General features: G+C 47.9%; 1 protein-coding gene and 1 long non-coding RNA gene across 4 annotated transcripts in view, besides 3 other annotated features; one reads left to right on the forward strand and one right to left on the reverse strand.

The window, feature by feature from the left end:
- Window positions 1-145: part of a silencer, noted in NCBI's record as "silent region_3117", that runs on past the window's edge. NCBI's record gives its function as "represses an Ori minimal core promoter by ATAC-STARR-seq in GM12878 lymphoblastoid cells {active_cell/tissue: GM12878}" and the evidence as "EXISTENCE:reporter gene assay evidence [ECO:0000049][PMID:35858748]".
- TMEM9B (TMEM9 domain family member B) overlaps window positions 1-997 on the reverse strand; it is a 17,746-nt gene extending 16,749 nt beyond the window's left edge. For 2 of the 3 annotated variants that reach the window (NM_001286094.2, NM_020644.3), the window contains exon 1: window positions 259-492. Coding sequence is in view for 1 of the 3 variants with exons in the window: in NM_020644.3 (NP_065695.1) it covers window positions 259-363 (105 nt within the window). In the remaining 2 variants the exon portion in view is untranslated. Of the gene's footprint in view, window positions 1-258; window positions 493-939 lie in introns of those variants that run through there. The other variant, NM_001286095.2, reaches the window with a different exon arrangement.
- Window positions 186-685: a silencer, noted in NCBI's record as "silent region_3118". NCBI's record gives its function as "represses an Ori minimal core promoter by ATAC-STARR-seq in GM12878 lymphoblastoid cells {active_cell/tissue: GM12878}" and the evidence as "EXISTENCE:reporter gene assay evidence [ECO:0000049][PMID:35858748]".
- On the forward strand, window positions 725-12,333 carry TMEM9B-AS1 (TMEM9B antisense RNA 1). The gene is made up of 5 exons (NR_073431.1): window positions 725-1,198; window positions 1,954-2,094; window positions 2,591-2,706; window positions 3,889-4,091; window positions 12,215-12,333. It is a non-coding gene; the product is annotated as a TMEM9B antisense RNA 1 (long non-coding RNA).
- Window positions 14,760-15,569: an enhancer, noted in NCBI's record as "OCT4-NANOG-H3K27ac-H3K4me1 hESC enhancer chr11:9000257-9001066 (GRCh37/hg19 assembly coordinates)". NCBI's record gives its function as "activates a minimal SCP1, AML or CMV promoter by ChIP-STARR-seq in primed H9 embryonic stem cells {active_cell/tissue: H9 hESC(primed)}" and the evidence as "EXISTENCE:reporter gene assay evidence [ECO:0000049][PMID:30033119]".

Consider the following 15,684-nt stretch of genomic DNA (forward strand, 5'->3'; position numbering starts at 1 on the left):
TGCTGTCCGGACTGTGGGCACTGTCGGGGCTGGGGACGACCGTGGGGCGCTGCCTGCCAGGCTGTCGGGGCTGAGGGCGAGAGTGCCGCCGGGCAGTCGGGAGGGGCGGGGCTGGTGGCGGCGGGGGTCTGCCGGAGCTGTGAGGCCAGGCGTATGGCTGTCAGGAATGGGCCAAGGAGCAGGTTGGCAGACCCAGTTTCCGCAAGGCCGGTGGTAGGGGAGGAGCTTCCGTCAGGAGCGAGGCTGGGCGGGACTCACCTTGGCGGCGTCTGACAGCTGCGCCAGCAGCAGCACGGAAAGCGCCAGGCACGACAGGCTGAGCAAGGAGCCAAGCCGAAGAAGGCCTCCCCACAGGGTCGCCATCGCTGGGGGCCCAGCGGTCCCACAGCCCGGAGCCCCCGCGACCGGCTCCCGGCTCGGGCTCAGGCTCAGGCTCAGGCTCAGGCACAGGCTTGGGACCCGGCTGGGGATCCTCCGCCCGCACTTCCGTCTGGACGCGAAGGCGTCACCGGGCGCGCCGGGTCAGATGCAAAAAGCATCCGCCCCGGAACCGGTTACCAGTGCGAAGGGCCGGGAGGCTGGGCAGTCCTGGTGCCCGCCTTGGCCTAGCCCCGGCCCCGGGACGGAAGGGGGCCTCTGGGGTGGCAGCCTGGGCCCAGTAGAGCTTTGCATCTCTTGGATATCTTTCCCGGGCGCAGAAGCTGCGGGGCTTAGGGAGTCGCCATTGCGCTGGAAAGTCCTCCCGCCCACGGAGACCCCAGCAAACTCCGAGTGTCACACAGTCGCCTCTGGCGACCCGTGCGGGCCGGAGCCGTTCGCGCACAGGCAGGGCGGGTGCTGAGCGTGGAAACGGGGCTGGAATTGGCCGAGCCATGCCTTTCCGGGATGCCCACCGCCAGTCAAAGGGTTGGGGGTGGTCTCTGCACCTTAAGTACTAACCTGCCGCCCACGCGCCTCCTGACCACAGCACCCCGTCGGCTTTCTAATTCTGTGAGCTGCCCTCGTGGGCGTGGCCTCCCTGTGGAGCTCCCCATGTGCCTCCCCTTGGTCCAGCCTGCAGCTAGGAAGTGGGTCACAGCGACGGGGCTGGGCTGGGCCAGGCCAGGCTCCGGGAGATGTGGAATTGGCGAAACAACTGCCCCAGTAGTATCCTCCGCCTAGGACTCCAAGAGGTGGCGAATTGGGGCACTACGCCCGGGTAAGGCAGTGCCTGTTCAGGGCTGCCGACCTGTCTCCCCAGGGCTGTCATTCTCAGCAAGTACTTTAGGAGTGCCTTAGATCGGCACATTCTCCCATTGAAATATTTTTGTTAGTGGAGACAAGGGAGGTAATGGCAAGGACACGGATCATCACAGCCCCTAGGGATTTGTTGAATGACCTTTGGCAAATCACTTCCCTTCTCTGGGCCTGTAGTTCTTGGCTGAATATGAGGGAATGGATTTCAAATTATGCTCCATGTAATACCCGTGTTTTTACCTCTGTAAACAGATTTTTTTGTTTTTTTTGAGACGGAGTCTCGTTCTGTCCCCCGGGCTGGAGTGCAGTGGCGCGATCTCGGCTCACTGCAACCTCCGCCTCCCGGGTTGACGCCATTCTCCTGCCTCAGCCTCCCTAGTAGGTGGGACTACAGGCGCCCGCCACCACGCCGCCCGGCTAATTTTTTTTTTCTTTTTCTTTTTCTTTTTTTTTTTTTGTATTTTTAGTACAGACAGGGTCTCACTGTGTTAGCCAGGATGGTCTCGATCTCCTGACCTTGTGATCCGCCCGCCTCGGCCTCCCAAATTGCTGGGATTATAGGCGTGAGCCACCGCGCCCGGCCCCAACAGATTTTTAAAGATGGTCTTTTCCCAATTTGTGGAAATGTTTTAACAGAATGCTCTCAATATTTTTCGCCCATGTGATTCTTAGATTCATGTGAATCTAACACAACGTATCTGATACTGTTCCCAACAGGAACCAGGGTGGCAGGGCTAGATGTCCTCTCACCAGACTGCCCAGTGAAGGTGCTGTCACTTTGATGAATTATCAAGGCTTTGTAGTGGGTCTTCTACTGGACAAAGGACAAACTGGAGACTCCCTGGATCAAATGTGTTGGTGAGGCACTGAATCTGATTGCTGAAAGGTGATTCAGCTGCAAGTTAGGCATCAGTTTAGGGTTTTCTAGGCTTGGCATCTAAAGGGAGTGCCTGCTGTAGCTGAAACCTCATAGGCCTTCTCTTCCTTCCGAATTGTTTTCAAGGCCTTGGGGGTACAGAGACTTAGAGAAAATACATAGTTGTGCCTCAGACTGATGGGCCTCATCTGTTTAATGGAGAAACACCAAGCACACTCAGTCTGGGCGGAATTTTAGAGCTCCATAGTATAACCACTATCTAGCTACATGTGGCAATTGAGCATTTGAAATGTGGCTAGACTGAATTGAAATGTGCTGTATAAAATATACACTTAATTTCAAAGACAATATTTTTAAAATGTAAAATATTTCAGTAATTTAAAAATATGGTTTAAATATTTTAGATATGTTGGGTTAAATAAAATATATTAGTAAAATATTTCACTTGTTTTTTGACCTCTTAAATGTGGCTGCTAGAAAATGTTATAGTGCTGTCAGGAAGTGCTGTTCTGGAATACAGAATGTGGCTGCCGTGAGTGGAGTGTGACTATGAGATAGTCGCCTGACTGGAGACAATGAAGCCTCAGGCCAAGGTAAGAGGGCTGACAAGGAAGAACTGGCACAACTAGAGCCGAATGTTTGGGGGAGGTATATGTCTGCCAAAAAATGAATATAATTTCAGGTGACTCAATAGAAGTGGAGGGATCAGTTTCTCTTGTTCTGCCCTGCTCTTATCTAGGTAACTCTTACTTTTCCTTTAGGTCAGGGTTCTTCTAAGCCAGAAAACCTTCACTGACTTAAGTGCACTCCTTTCTATGTTTGCATAGATCTCTTTCTTAACTTTACCCCATTATAGTAAAATTATGTTTTCACATTTGCCTTTATACCCAAACCTCCACCAAAATATTGTGAGCTCTCTGAGGGTAAGGACTTTGTCTTATTATTGTTATACCTGGAGACAGATTAAAACAATATGATGTTTGTGGGGACCAGGGAAAAGGGGAATGGGAGAGGCTCCTCTGGTTAGTCTAAAAGAAAAGTATCAGGCACCTACTTGAATCCTCATTTGATTTCTTTCTGACCATGAGAGGGGATGCTGAGATGCCCAAAGATGTGCAAATGGCGGGATCCGGCGCACCATAGTAGGCAGGGGAGTGAAGATTTCTCACCTCGGGTCTTCCTAGACCTTCAGGTCACACGGGAATTGTTCTGTTTATAGACGGCGCTGGCCTTAGTACTCACTCTCCCTCTATTTTCCTTGCTTCCTTATAACTAGGTTTCCCTACTCACTTCCTCAAAAAGAGTGATGTAGGTCCACGTGTACCCTCCCAACTGGCCTGGGTCCTCTCCCTTCTTTGTAAGGCCTGAAAAATTCCCTGGTGGGGGATGGTTAGAAAAGGAAGAGGAACCTTCTTTGTAAGTGTGCAAGTCAGAAGGGGAGGGAGAAAAGTGACAATTTATATATCTGGGACAAATATATCTTGGACCCAGGTTTTGCCACCTGTCTGCATCCCCCCATGCCCTTTCCCCTCCAGTGATCAAATAGCTCTCTGGATGCCCCTTAATTCTTCCACCCCATCCATTCTGATCTACCCAGCACTTGCCTAGGCAACACCAGTCCAGGAGAACAAATGGAGTTATGCACAACATTGGTGATTTCCTTGTATTGTGGCTCCAGTGGTTATGGCTGGGGACACACACATCCTTCCAGTTATTTCTGAGCATACTCTGGAAACGTCTTATGAGCCCTCTTCTTTATTGTGTGCACCCACTAGGATGCTCCCTCCTACTCAGCCCTGTTTAGTGGGATTTTTCAGCCCACTGTAAAGCCTACTGCTGCCTGTAAAGCCACCTAAGTGCATCACTTGCTGGTGTTCACCATGATAACAACAATTTATGGGGACAGAATATGTTTCTAGAGCTGCTGGTGCCACTGCTGATGTTACTGGGTTCCCTGAAATAAAACACCACAGTGCAGGTGAGTACCAAAGTGGGGAGAATTTTTAGTTCCTTTTAGAGGTGCTAAATCAATATTGTTGATTTCCCAGTACCTTAGAATATTTAATGAAAACAGGTCAGGTGCAGTGGCTCACGCCTGTAATCCCAGCACTTTGGGAGGCCAAGGCAGGTAGATCACTTGAGGTCAGGAGTTCAAGAACAGCCTGGCCAACATGGTGAAACCCCATCTCTACTAAAAATACAAAAATTAGCAGGGCGTGGTGGCAGGCACCTGTAATCCCAGCTACTCCGGAAGCTGAGGCACCAGAATCGCTTGAACTCAGGAGGCGGAGGTTGTAGTGAGTCGAGATCATGCCACTGCACTCCAGCCTGGGCGCATGGTGGCTCATGCCTATAATCCCAGCACTTTGGGAGGCTGAGGCAGTCAGATCACTTGAGGTCAGGAGTTCAAGAACAGCCTGACCAACATGGTGAAACCCCATCTCTACTAAAAATAGAAAAAGTTAGCCAGGCGTGGTGGCAGGCGCCTGTAATCCCAGCTACTCAGGAGGCTGAGGCATAAGAATCCTTGAACCCAGGAGGCGGAGGTTGCAGTGAGCTGAGATTGCACCATTGCACTCCAGCCTGGGCAACAATAGCGAAACTCCGTCTCAAAACAAACAAACAAACAAAACAAAAAAACTTAATGAATACAGTCCCTCCTAAGATTTTCAAATAAATGAAATACCACATTAATCATATTGTTTTATTTTTATCATTACATTAAAAATCAAATAGTATCACTAGGTTTATAATGAAAAACAGCAGACCCTGTCCCAGCCCTCCACACTCTCAGTTTCTACTCCCTAGATATAATCTCTATTCACCCAGCTACCTCTTCTGGTATTTATCTCCGTATTTCTAAATAGCATGCTTATACTACTAATTCTTAATTTTTCAGTTTGGGCCATTATTTTACTTTTTCTATAGGAAATAAGATATGTGTTTATACTCTGAAGACTGGTAATACACACATGTATTTCTCCATCTTCCATCCTTCAGTTTATCTATATCACCCTATATAGGTAGAGTACTATTCATTATACTATTATAAAGGTATGTAATTGATCCAGTTAGCATAATATGATTATATTTCCTTTATTTTGATTGAAGTTAACTATTGCCTCTTTCTCCATGCAACTTTCTTAAGTACCTAGCATTCAAGTGTCTATAATCAATTTATTCCAAACTGTCCTTTCAAAACATTGAAACACATCAAGTAGTCTATCAATCAGTTTATTTTTTAAATTGGAGACAACTCTCTAGGAGCCCATCATCCTCCTTCACTGTGGACTAGTTTTTCTCTAAGCCTACTGCACAGCTTTTGTCCTGAAATAATTTTATCCTTTCTACCCTGTTTTCCACTTCTTTTTGTTTTTCTGAAAGATTTCCACCTTCCAGCTTTTCTTTTGAATTTTAAAATTTCTGTTATGTTTTAAATTTGCCAGAATACTTTCTTGTCAACCTCTCTTTTAATTAAAAATATTTTTTATTTTTGTAATTTAAAGGTTTATTGTAAATTGACAAGTACAAATTGGATATATTTATGGGGTACAAAGTGATGTTATATGTATACAATGTGGAAAGATTAAATCAAGCTAATTAACATATCCATCACTACAAATACTTCTTTGTGGTGAGAATACTTGACATTTACCTTCAGCAATTTTGAAATATACAGTACATTATTATTAACCATGCTATACTCTTTATCTCAAAAAATGTATTCCCTTTATCTAACTGAAACTTCGTACTCTAACCAACATCTCCTTGTTTCCCCTACCACCCCTTCCCCCTACTCTCTGATAACCATCATTCTACTCTGATTCTGTGAGTTTGTTTTAGATTCTACATTAGGAATCATGTGACTTTGTCTGTCTGTGCCTGGCTTATTCCATTCAGCATAACGTCCTCCAGGGAAGCACTTTCTTGTCCACCCCCTTCCCCTTTTTAAATAGCAGTCTGTTCCATTTGGTGGATGCAGTATCTTATTACTCTAAGAATATTGCTAATGTTTTCTTTTGTTTCTTGAATTGTCTGTGTTGAATTTTTAAGGCTTGTTTCTGTTTTGTGTTGGAAGCTTTTCTTAAACGTCTAGAGATCCTTGGCCATCCATTCATATGTAAGAGTGGGGCACTAGAAAGCCAATAGAAAGTTCTGTGTACACTGGCCAGTGAGGTGGCTCACACCTGTAACCCCAGCACTTTGGAAGGCCAAGGCAGGCAGATCACTTGAGGTCAGGAGTTCAAGACCAGCCTTGCCAACATGGTGAAACCCCATCTCTACTAAAAATACAAAAATTAGCCGGGCTGGTGGCGCACGCCTGTAATCCTTGCTACTTGGGAGGCTGAGGCTTGAGAATCTCTTGAACCCGGGAGGCAGAGGTTGCAGTGAGCTCTCCAGCCTAGGCAACAGACCAAAACTCTGTCTCAAAAAAAAAAAAAGTTCTGTGTACATACTTAGGACTTGTAATTGGTAGGACATACTGCAGTATTTTTCAAACTTCTGGTCGCAAACCCATTAGTAGTTTGTGAAATCAATATAATCAGTTTTATTTCCCCCAAATGACAGAACAGAATAGAAAACACCACCTCAGAATACATCTACATAGAAAGAGAATTATTTTATGAAACTTTGGTTTCTTACACATATCATATATACATATTATGTACTGGTTTGATCCCATAAAATGGGAGTTTTTTTTTTTTATTGTGGGTGTTTCTTCAAAGAAATTTGAAAAAGTACAACTTAGGATAATCAAAGAGATCTCCAACTGTCAGGACAGGTAGGTCTTTTCTCTTAGAGAGGTTAAGTTCCGGCCCAGTGCGGTGGCTCATGCCTGTAATCCCAGCACTTTGGGAGGCTGAGGCGGGCAGATCATGAGGTCGGGAGATTGAGACCATCCTGGCTAACATGGTGAAACCTCATCTCTTCTAAGAATACAAAAAATAAGTCAGGCATGGTGGCACGCGCCTGTAATCCCAGCTACTCGGGAGGCTGAGGCAGGAGAATCATTTGAACTCGGGAGGCGGAGATTGCCACTGCACTCCAGCCTGGGCGACAGAGCAAGACTCCGTCTCAAAAAAAAAAAAAAAAAAACGGAGATAAGTTCTCCTGGAGTAAAATTCTCTAAACTTTTGCCTGCATGCTAGTCTGATAGACAGTACTCATTCATTCAGGTATTGGTTGAGGACTTACTATGTGCCAAACACTGTTCCAGGTTCTGGGTATACATCAGACAAAACTGTCTCCTGGGACTAGATTCTAGTGAGGGAGATAAACAGTGGGTTATATAGTATTTAGATCTTGCGCTAGGTAACACAGCAACAGAAGGGAAAGCTGAACATATGCATATAGATGCTGGTAAGAGGGTGGATGTGGTGGATGAATGAAGTAGAAAACAAGGTCATCATCTGAGAGTGAAAATGGGGAGGAAGTGTTGGAAGAAAAGAGAAGGTGTGAAATAATTTAGGACACAGCACAGCAAACTATAGCCTTTGGTCAAATCCTATTTTGGTGCAATCCACAAGCTAAGGATACTTTTTTACTTTTAAACGGTTGGGAAAAAAATTTAAGATGATATTACATCATAGCATGTAACAAATAAATGCAATTCAAATTTCATTTATTTACATATTGCCTCTGGCTACTTTCATGCTACAGTGACAAAGCTGAATAATTGCAAAAGAGACTATGACCTGCTATGCCAAAAATATTTATCTGGCCCTTTACAGAAAAAGTTGGCTGACTCCTGATCTAGGAGGATGGGAAGGTATATAGAGTAGGGAAATATGATTATCAGGCAGCATTAAGGCCTGAAGGTTATGGACATGAATTTAAAGTAAGACTAAACAGCATAGTTGCTGCACAGAAGTAGGTACAAAGGCAAAGAGCTGGCTTTAAAGTTGTGATTTTGCAAACTGAAAATGACAAAAAGGGGTAGACTAAGTTAAAAGTACATGCAAGTTGCATGATTATAATGAGTGATCCTGGGATTTAAGTTGATTATGACAGGAACAGAAGGAACTTGGAGATTAGGGACAATGAAAAGGTGGTAGTGAAAGGAGTGTTGGAGTTAAGTTACTAGATGTCTGGAAGACAGACTGTGGTGGTCAGATAATGAGATAGATTATGGAGGGGTTACAGTTTTTGGTAATAACGAGAGAGATCTAAGGTATGACTGAGAGTGAATGGATGAGAATAGCAGAGAACAAGGTCAGTGGAAAACTACTCTTCAAAGAACCTATAGTCAGGGTGTTGAAAGATTAAAAATTGCTAAGAATTAAATCAGGAGTAGTGCTGCGGGAAATGAAATGAGCAGTGAACTAAACTTACTGAGAAATGAGAGGGGATGACCCAGGGGTTTGTAGATTTTGTAGATGATAGCAATGAAGAGAAGAGATATTATTTGATGGTATGGAACTCAAAGCTGAGAGTTTTAAGGGAAGATAGGAGACGTGTCTAGAAGTAGTAATGAGGAGCAAGAACATCATCTACCCCATCTCCAGGACCAGTAATAGGAGGACTGTGGGAGAAAAAAATCACCTTGAGAGGGCTGTAGTGAAAGCAGTATCCTAAGGTAGCAGCCAAGTTTCAGACTGCTGGGATCCAAGCCAGGGAAAGGTTTCTGACTCTTTAGAATGCTGAGCTTTAGGCTGGGCACAGTGGCTCACGCCTGTAATCCCAGCACTCTGGGAGGCCAAGGTGGGCAGATCACTTGAGTCCAGGAGTTCAAGACCAGCCCAGGCAACATGGTGAAATCCCATCTCTACACAAAATACAAAAATTACCCAGGTTTGGTGGTTCATGCCTGTAGTCCCAGCTACTCAAGAGACTGAGGTGGAGAATCACTTGAGCCCAGGAGGTTGAGGCAGCAGCAAGCCATGATCACACCACTGTACTCCAGCCTGGGCAACAGAGTGAGACCCTGTCTCAAAAAAACAAACAGAATGCTGAGTTTTAAATCCCTATATTCAGTAGGATGTCTCCCCTCAGCTCCCAGTTGTTGTTGGTGGCTTCAACTAGTTCATCTTCCCCAGGAGATAATGAATGAACAAATGAATGAATGAATGAATGAGTTTATAAGGGGCGAGGATCTCAGGACTTCATAGTCTTTCAAGTAATCATCTTGTTTTTAGCCCTCTACCTACTACCTCTTGCTTTTCAGATAACTGATGCCTCCAATTCCTAAGCCTTTTCTGGGGTTCTGTGGTACAAACATGCTTGCTTATTGCTAGTAACACTCCACCAGCCCCTGCCCCAGACTTCTGCTTTCTCTGGTCTACTCAGTTTGTTCCTTGTTTTTTGCTTTCCGGATTCAAAGATTTTGTTGACATTGCCTGGATGCTGCCATCTTTTGTCTCATATTCTTTGTCCTTAATCATTTAACATTCCTTTACTGTCATTTTAATGGCATTTCAGGAGGAAGCCATGTTTCTAGTCCACCGTTCTTTTTTGTTGTTTTTGAGACAGAGTCTTACTCTGTCACCCAGGCTGGAGTGCAGTAGCATGACCTCAGCTCACTGCAACCTCTGCCTCCCGGGTTCAAGCGATCCTCCCACCTCAGCCTCCCGAGTAGCTGGGACCACAGGCATGCGCCACTACAACTGGCTAATTTTTGTATTTGTAAGTAGAGATGAGGTTTCTCCATGTTGGCCAGGCTTGTCTTGAATTCCTGGCCTCAAGTGATCCACCCACCTCAGCCTTCTAAAGTGCTGGGATTACAGGCATGAGCCACCACACCGGGCCAATCCACTGTTTTTTAAAAAGTTGTCAAGAGTTTTGTTAAGGGGTCAGACATGTCTGACTGGTTGACTTTTCCCAGAATGCTGCTTAGTCCCTCAAACACACAAATTCCTGATGGGTCCACCCACTAGGCTTCTGGTATACACAGACAGATCTGAATCCCAGTGGTGGAAACAACCTAGGCTGATTCTGAGTTTCCCACTGCATTTCTTCTTCTAATTGTCCCTCTTTTCCATTCCTGTCCTTTCCCTCATCCCTTACCTGCTGAAAATGAATCTTACCATTTCTAAAATTCCACTCTTCCGGGGGCATCCACAGCTGGATCCTCTTCTTCACTGCCATTCCTCAGGCCTTAGAACAGGTCCCCTTCTTACACCCTTGTGCTCCAACTGGTCTTTATGAAACCTGTTCACTTCAATATACTTTTAGGCCAGGCTCACGCCTGTAATCCCAGCACCTTGAGAAGCTGAGGCCGGTGCATCACTTGAGGTCAGGAGTTCGAGACCAGCCTGGCCAACATGGTGAAACCCTATCTCTACTAAAAATACAAATATATATACATATGCCAGGCATGGTGGCATGTGCCTGTAGTCCCAGCTACTCAGGAGGCAGAGGCACGAGAATCACTTGAATCCAGGAGGCGGAGGTCGCAGTGAGCCGAGATTGTGCCACTGCACTCCAGCTTGGGCAACAGAGCAAGACTCCGTCTCCAAAATATATCTTATCTATATATAGATATAGATAGGTATATATAGATCTATATATAGATATATACTTTCAATTCTCCAATTGTTCCCGTATACCATAGAGAAACTCTTATGAGCTCAGTTTCTGCAGGACTTACAAAACAGGGTAATTGCCTCCTCATTATGGTCAGCTCCAGCACCATTCAAATTCTCTGTCCTTACCCATTTCCAGAACAAGCAGGATGAAAATCACTTATCACTATAGCACCCACCCTTAAGCACAAGGTTATCCAATGTTTTCAAGGAGTCCAGCATTTCATAACAGAACCCCCTGATTAGTTTGCTAACTGATGAAAGCAGAGTTAAATTCCTGTTATGCAGGTTTAGAGTACAGGAGATTCTATGTCCCCATATCCTCTGCCCCCCAATCTATCCCTTGGCAAACACAAGTACCTCTACTAGAATAACCATACTCCCTCTTCCCAACCCACTTCTCTTGTTTAAGGGCACTGGCAGTGTTTGTGTATGTCAACAACATCGGAGTATCTGGGGTCCCTGGAGAGTTAGATTTTCTGTATTAATTACAGACTGGGAGATTACTCTGGCTCCAGTAAAAGCAATACCAGGATTGAAGTCCCCTCTCTGATTATGGTGGCTGGGATTTGCTGGAAGAGGCATAGGTCCAGAAAAGAATGTAAAAAAGGTACTAGAAAGAAAGAATAAGGCCTATAGCCATCAGGCTGCTAGAACCTTTGGACAAGTCACTATCTAAAAGCAGGTAAAGACCCAGCTTTTTGTCCATCTGGTCAGGCACCTGGTGGCGTGAGTCTTTCAGAACATACTGGTCAGGCGGTGGCTCACGCCTGTAATCTCAGCACTTTGGGAGGCTGAGGCAGGAGGATCACTTGAGGTAAGGAGTTGGAGACCAGCCTGGCCAACATGGTGAAACCCTGTCTCTACTAAAAATACAAAAATTAGCCAGGTGTGGTGGCGGGCATATGTAGTCCCAGCTACTTGGGAGGCTGAGGCAAGAGAATCGCTTGAACCCAGGAGTCGGCAGTTGCAGTGAGCCGAGATCACACCACTGCACTCCAGTCTGGATGGTAAAGTGAGAACCCATCTCAAAAAAAAAAAGGAACATACCACAACCCTTCAATAAAAAGGTCTCTGAGAAAACAGTTGTCACAATGTCCATGTACTTGTACTTGACACCATGTGAGAAACAGCCTCCAGTAGGTCACTGGCCAGACAGGTGAGTATGAAATAGGACAACACTGTATTATAGCTCAGGATGCATTGATAATAGAAGTTTGAAGCAGCAGCTGACAGACGAGTCTAAGCAATAACACACAGACTAGTTTGTCTCTGCTCTTGAGAACAGCAGCCTGCAACCCTTCAAACAAGCCATAATGTGTGAGTCAACAAGAAGCTACATTTGATTGACAATGCCATTTTAATAAAGATGTTCTAGAGTCAAAGAATTTGGCGTGAGAAATTGTGCCCAGGCTGGGGTGCAGTGGTGTGATCATAGCTCACTGCAGCCTCTGAGCTCCTGGGCTCAAGGGATCCCCCTGCCTTAGCCTCTGAAGTAGCTGGGACTACAGGCATGCACCACTGTGCCCAGCTAATTTTTAATTTTTTTGTAAAGATAGGGTCTCATTATGTTTCCCAGGCTGGTCTCGAACTCCTGGCTTCAAGTGATCCTCCCACCTTGGACTCCGAAAGTGCTGGGATGTGCTCAATATTAAATGTCATGAAGATACTGTTAAAATAATAATTGTGCTCAATAGTTGTATCTTTATACTATTCTGAGCCTTAGGTTTCTTTTCTGTAAAACTGAACAATACTACCTTCTTTGCAGGGGATAGCATAGTCCCTGGTTTACAGTAAATGCTTTCCTCCAATTGAATCAAGATATACCTCTCTGCTACCTCCCCATCTATTAGAAATGCTTGCCTTCTGGTACCAGAAAAAAAAAAAAAACACCTTCCACATGACAACTCTGAAGACAATAATCACACTACCATTGTGTTTTTCTGGATGTGCCACACATTGTATACATGTCCCTGCCTTACAAATGACATCTCCTATACACAGAGTCCTTAATATTTCTACATGCAATGTATAATCAATTAAAACATCAGTATCATCTTAATGTGAATTTCTGTTAATCCAAGTTCTCCCCCACTATGCAAGTGCAATAAATATTTAAAAATGAAGGTAACAATATATATATATATTTTTTTGAGACAGAGTCTCGCTCTGTTGTCCAGGCTGGAGTGCAGTGGCGTGATCGCGGCTCACTGCAAGCTCCACCTCCCGAGTTCATGCCATTCTCCTGCATCAGCCTCCTGAGTAGCTGGGACTACAGGTGCCCACCACCACTCCCAGCTAATTTTTTGTATTTTTAGTAGAGACAGGGTTTCACTGTGTTAGCCAGGATGGTCTCCATCTCCTGACCTTGTGATACACCCCTCTCGGCCTCCCAAAGTGCTGGGATTACAGGTGTGAGCCACCGTGCTTGGCCAACAATATATATTCTTAACTGTGTAAATTTTAATTTGTTGGTTTTATTCTTTTGAGATTATTATGAATATTGATTCTGTCATTCATCGCTTAAGGACCAGGCAGGTGAACCACTTGACATTTTTTATCATCAGAATAAATTGACAAAAACAAAACAAAATACTTTGAGGTGGAATGGAAGTATCTTGAGTAGTAGTAAAACCATAGTTCTAGATGGTGATAATCATTGTCATAATGAAAGCGTGTTGCTTGTTGACTATTTAACCATGCTGTTTAAGTCATATTAAAAACATCAATACGTCCCTCTCCCTCTCCCCTCTCCCCTCTCCCCTCTCCCCTCTCCCCTCTCCCCTCTCCCCCTTCCCACGGTCTCCTTCCACGGTCTCCCTCTGATGCCGAGCCAAAGCTGGACGGTACTGCTGCCATCTCGGCTCACTGCAACCTCCCTGCCTGATTCTCCTGCCTCAGCCTGCCGAGTGCCTGCGATTGCAGGCGCGCGCCGCCACGCCTGACTGGTTTTCGTTTTTTTTTTTTTTGGTGGAGACGGGGTTTTGCTGTGTTGGCCGGGCTGGTCTCCAGCTCCTAACCGCGAGTGATCCGCCAGCCTCGGCCTCCCGAGGTGCCGGGATTGCAGACGGAGTCTCGTTCACTCAGTGCTCAATGGTGCCCAGGCTGGAGTGCAGTGGCGTGATCTTGGCTCGCTACAACCTCCACCTCCCAGCCGCCTGCCTTGGCCCCCCAAAGTGCCGAGATTGCAGCCTCTGCCCAGCCGCCACCCCGTCTGGGAAGTGAGGAGCGTCTCTGCCTGGCCCCCCATCGTCTGGGATATGAGGAGCCTCTCTGCCTGGCTGCCCAGTCTGGAAAGTGAGGAGCGTCTCTGCCCGGCCGCCATCCCATCTAGGAAGCGAGGAGCGCCTCTTCCCCGCCGCCATCCCATCTAGGAAGTGAGGAGCGTCTCTGCCCGGCCGCCCATCGTCTGAGATGTGGGGAGCACCTCTGCCCCGCCGCCCTGTCTGGGATGTGAGGAGCGCCTCTGCTGGGCCGCAACCCTGTCTGGGAGGTGAGGAGCGTCTCTGCCCGGCCTCCCCGTCTGAGAAGTGAGGAAACCCTCTGCCTGGCAACCGCCCCGTCTGAGAAGTGAGGAGCCCCTCCGTCCGGCAGCCACCCCGTCTGGGAAGTGAGGAGCGTCTCCGCCCGGCAGCCACCCCGACCGGGAGGGAGGTGGGGGGGGGGTCAGCCCCCCGCCCGGCCAGCCGCCCCGTCCGGGAGGTGAGGGGCTCCTCTGCCCGGCCGCCCCTACTGGGAAGTGAGGAGCCCCTCTGCCCGGCCAGCCGCCCCGTCCGGGAGGGAGGTGGGGGGGTCAGCCCCCCGCCCGGCCAGCCGCCCCGTCCGGGAGGTGAGGGGCTCCTCTGCCCGGCCGCCCCTACTGGGAAGTGAGGAGCCCCTCTGCCCGGCCAGCCGCCCCGTCCGGGAGGGAGGTGGGGGGATCAGCCCCCCGCCTGGCCAGCCGCCCCGTCCGGGAGGTGAGGGGCGCCTCTGCCCGGCCGCCCCTACTGGGAAGTGAGGAGCCCCTCTGCCCGGCCAGCCGCCCCATCCGGGAGGGAGGTGGGGGGGTCAGCCCCCCGCCCGGCCAGCCGCCCCATCCGGGAGGGAGGTGGGGGGGTCAGCCCTCCGCCCGGCCAGCCGCCCCATCCGGGAGGGAGGTGGGGGGGGTCAGCCCCCCGCCCGGCCAGCCGCCCCGTCCGGGAGGGAGGTGGGGGGATCAGCCCCCCGCCTGGCCAGCCGCCCCGTCCGGGAGGTGAGGGGCGCCTCTGCCCGGCCGCCCCTACTGGGAAGTGAGGACCCCTCTGCCTGGCCAGCCGCCCCGTCCGGGAGGGTTGGGGGGGGGTCAGCCCCCCGCCCGGCCAGCCGCCCCATCCGGGAGGTGAGGGGCGCTTCTGCCCGGCCGCCCCTACTGGGAAATGAGGAGCCCCTCTGCCCGGCCACGACCCCGTCTGGGAGGTGTGCCCAGCGGCTCATTGGGGATGGGCCATGATGACAATGGCGGTTTTGTGGAATAGAAAGGCGGGAAGAGTGGGGAAAAAATTGAGAAATCGGATGGTTGCCGGGTCTCTGTGGATAGAAGTAGACATGGGAGACTTTTCATTTTGTTCTGTACTAAGAAAAATTCTTCTGCCTTGGGATCCTGTTGATCTGTGACCTTATCCCCAACCCTGTGCTCTCTGAAACATGTGCTGTGTCCACTCAGGGTTAAATGGATTAAGGGCGGTGCAAGATGTGCTTTGTTAAACAGATGCTTGAAGGCAGCATGCTCGTTAAGAGTCATCACCACTCCCTAATCTTAAGTACCCAGGGACACAAACACTGCGGAAGGCCGCAGGGTCCTCTGCCTAGGAAAACCAGAGACCTTTGTTCACTTGTTTATCTACTGACCTTCCCTCCACTATTGTCCTATGACCCTGCCAAATCCCCCTCTGCGAGAAACACCCAAGAATGATCAATAAAATAAATAAATAAATAAATAAATAAATAAATAAATAAATAAATAAAAGAGTGACTCACATCTCTGGCTGGATTGCCAGGGGACCTTGGGCAGATTTCTTAGCCTTTCTGAGC

This window comes from Homo sapiens, chromosome 11 (assembly GCF_000001405.40).
Source record: "Homo sapiens chromosome 11, GRCh38.p14 Primary Assembly".
NCBI classification, from domain to species: Eukaryota; Metazoa; Chordata; class Mammalia; order Primates; family Hominidae; genus Homo; species Homo sapiens.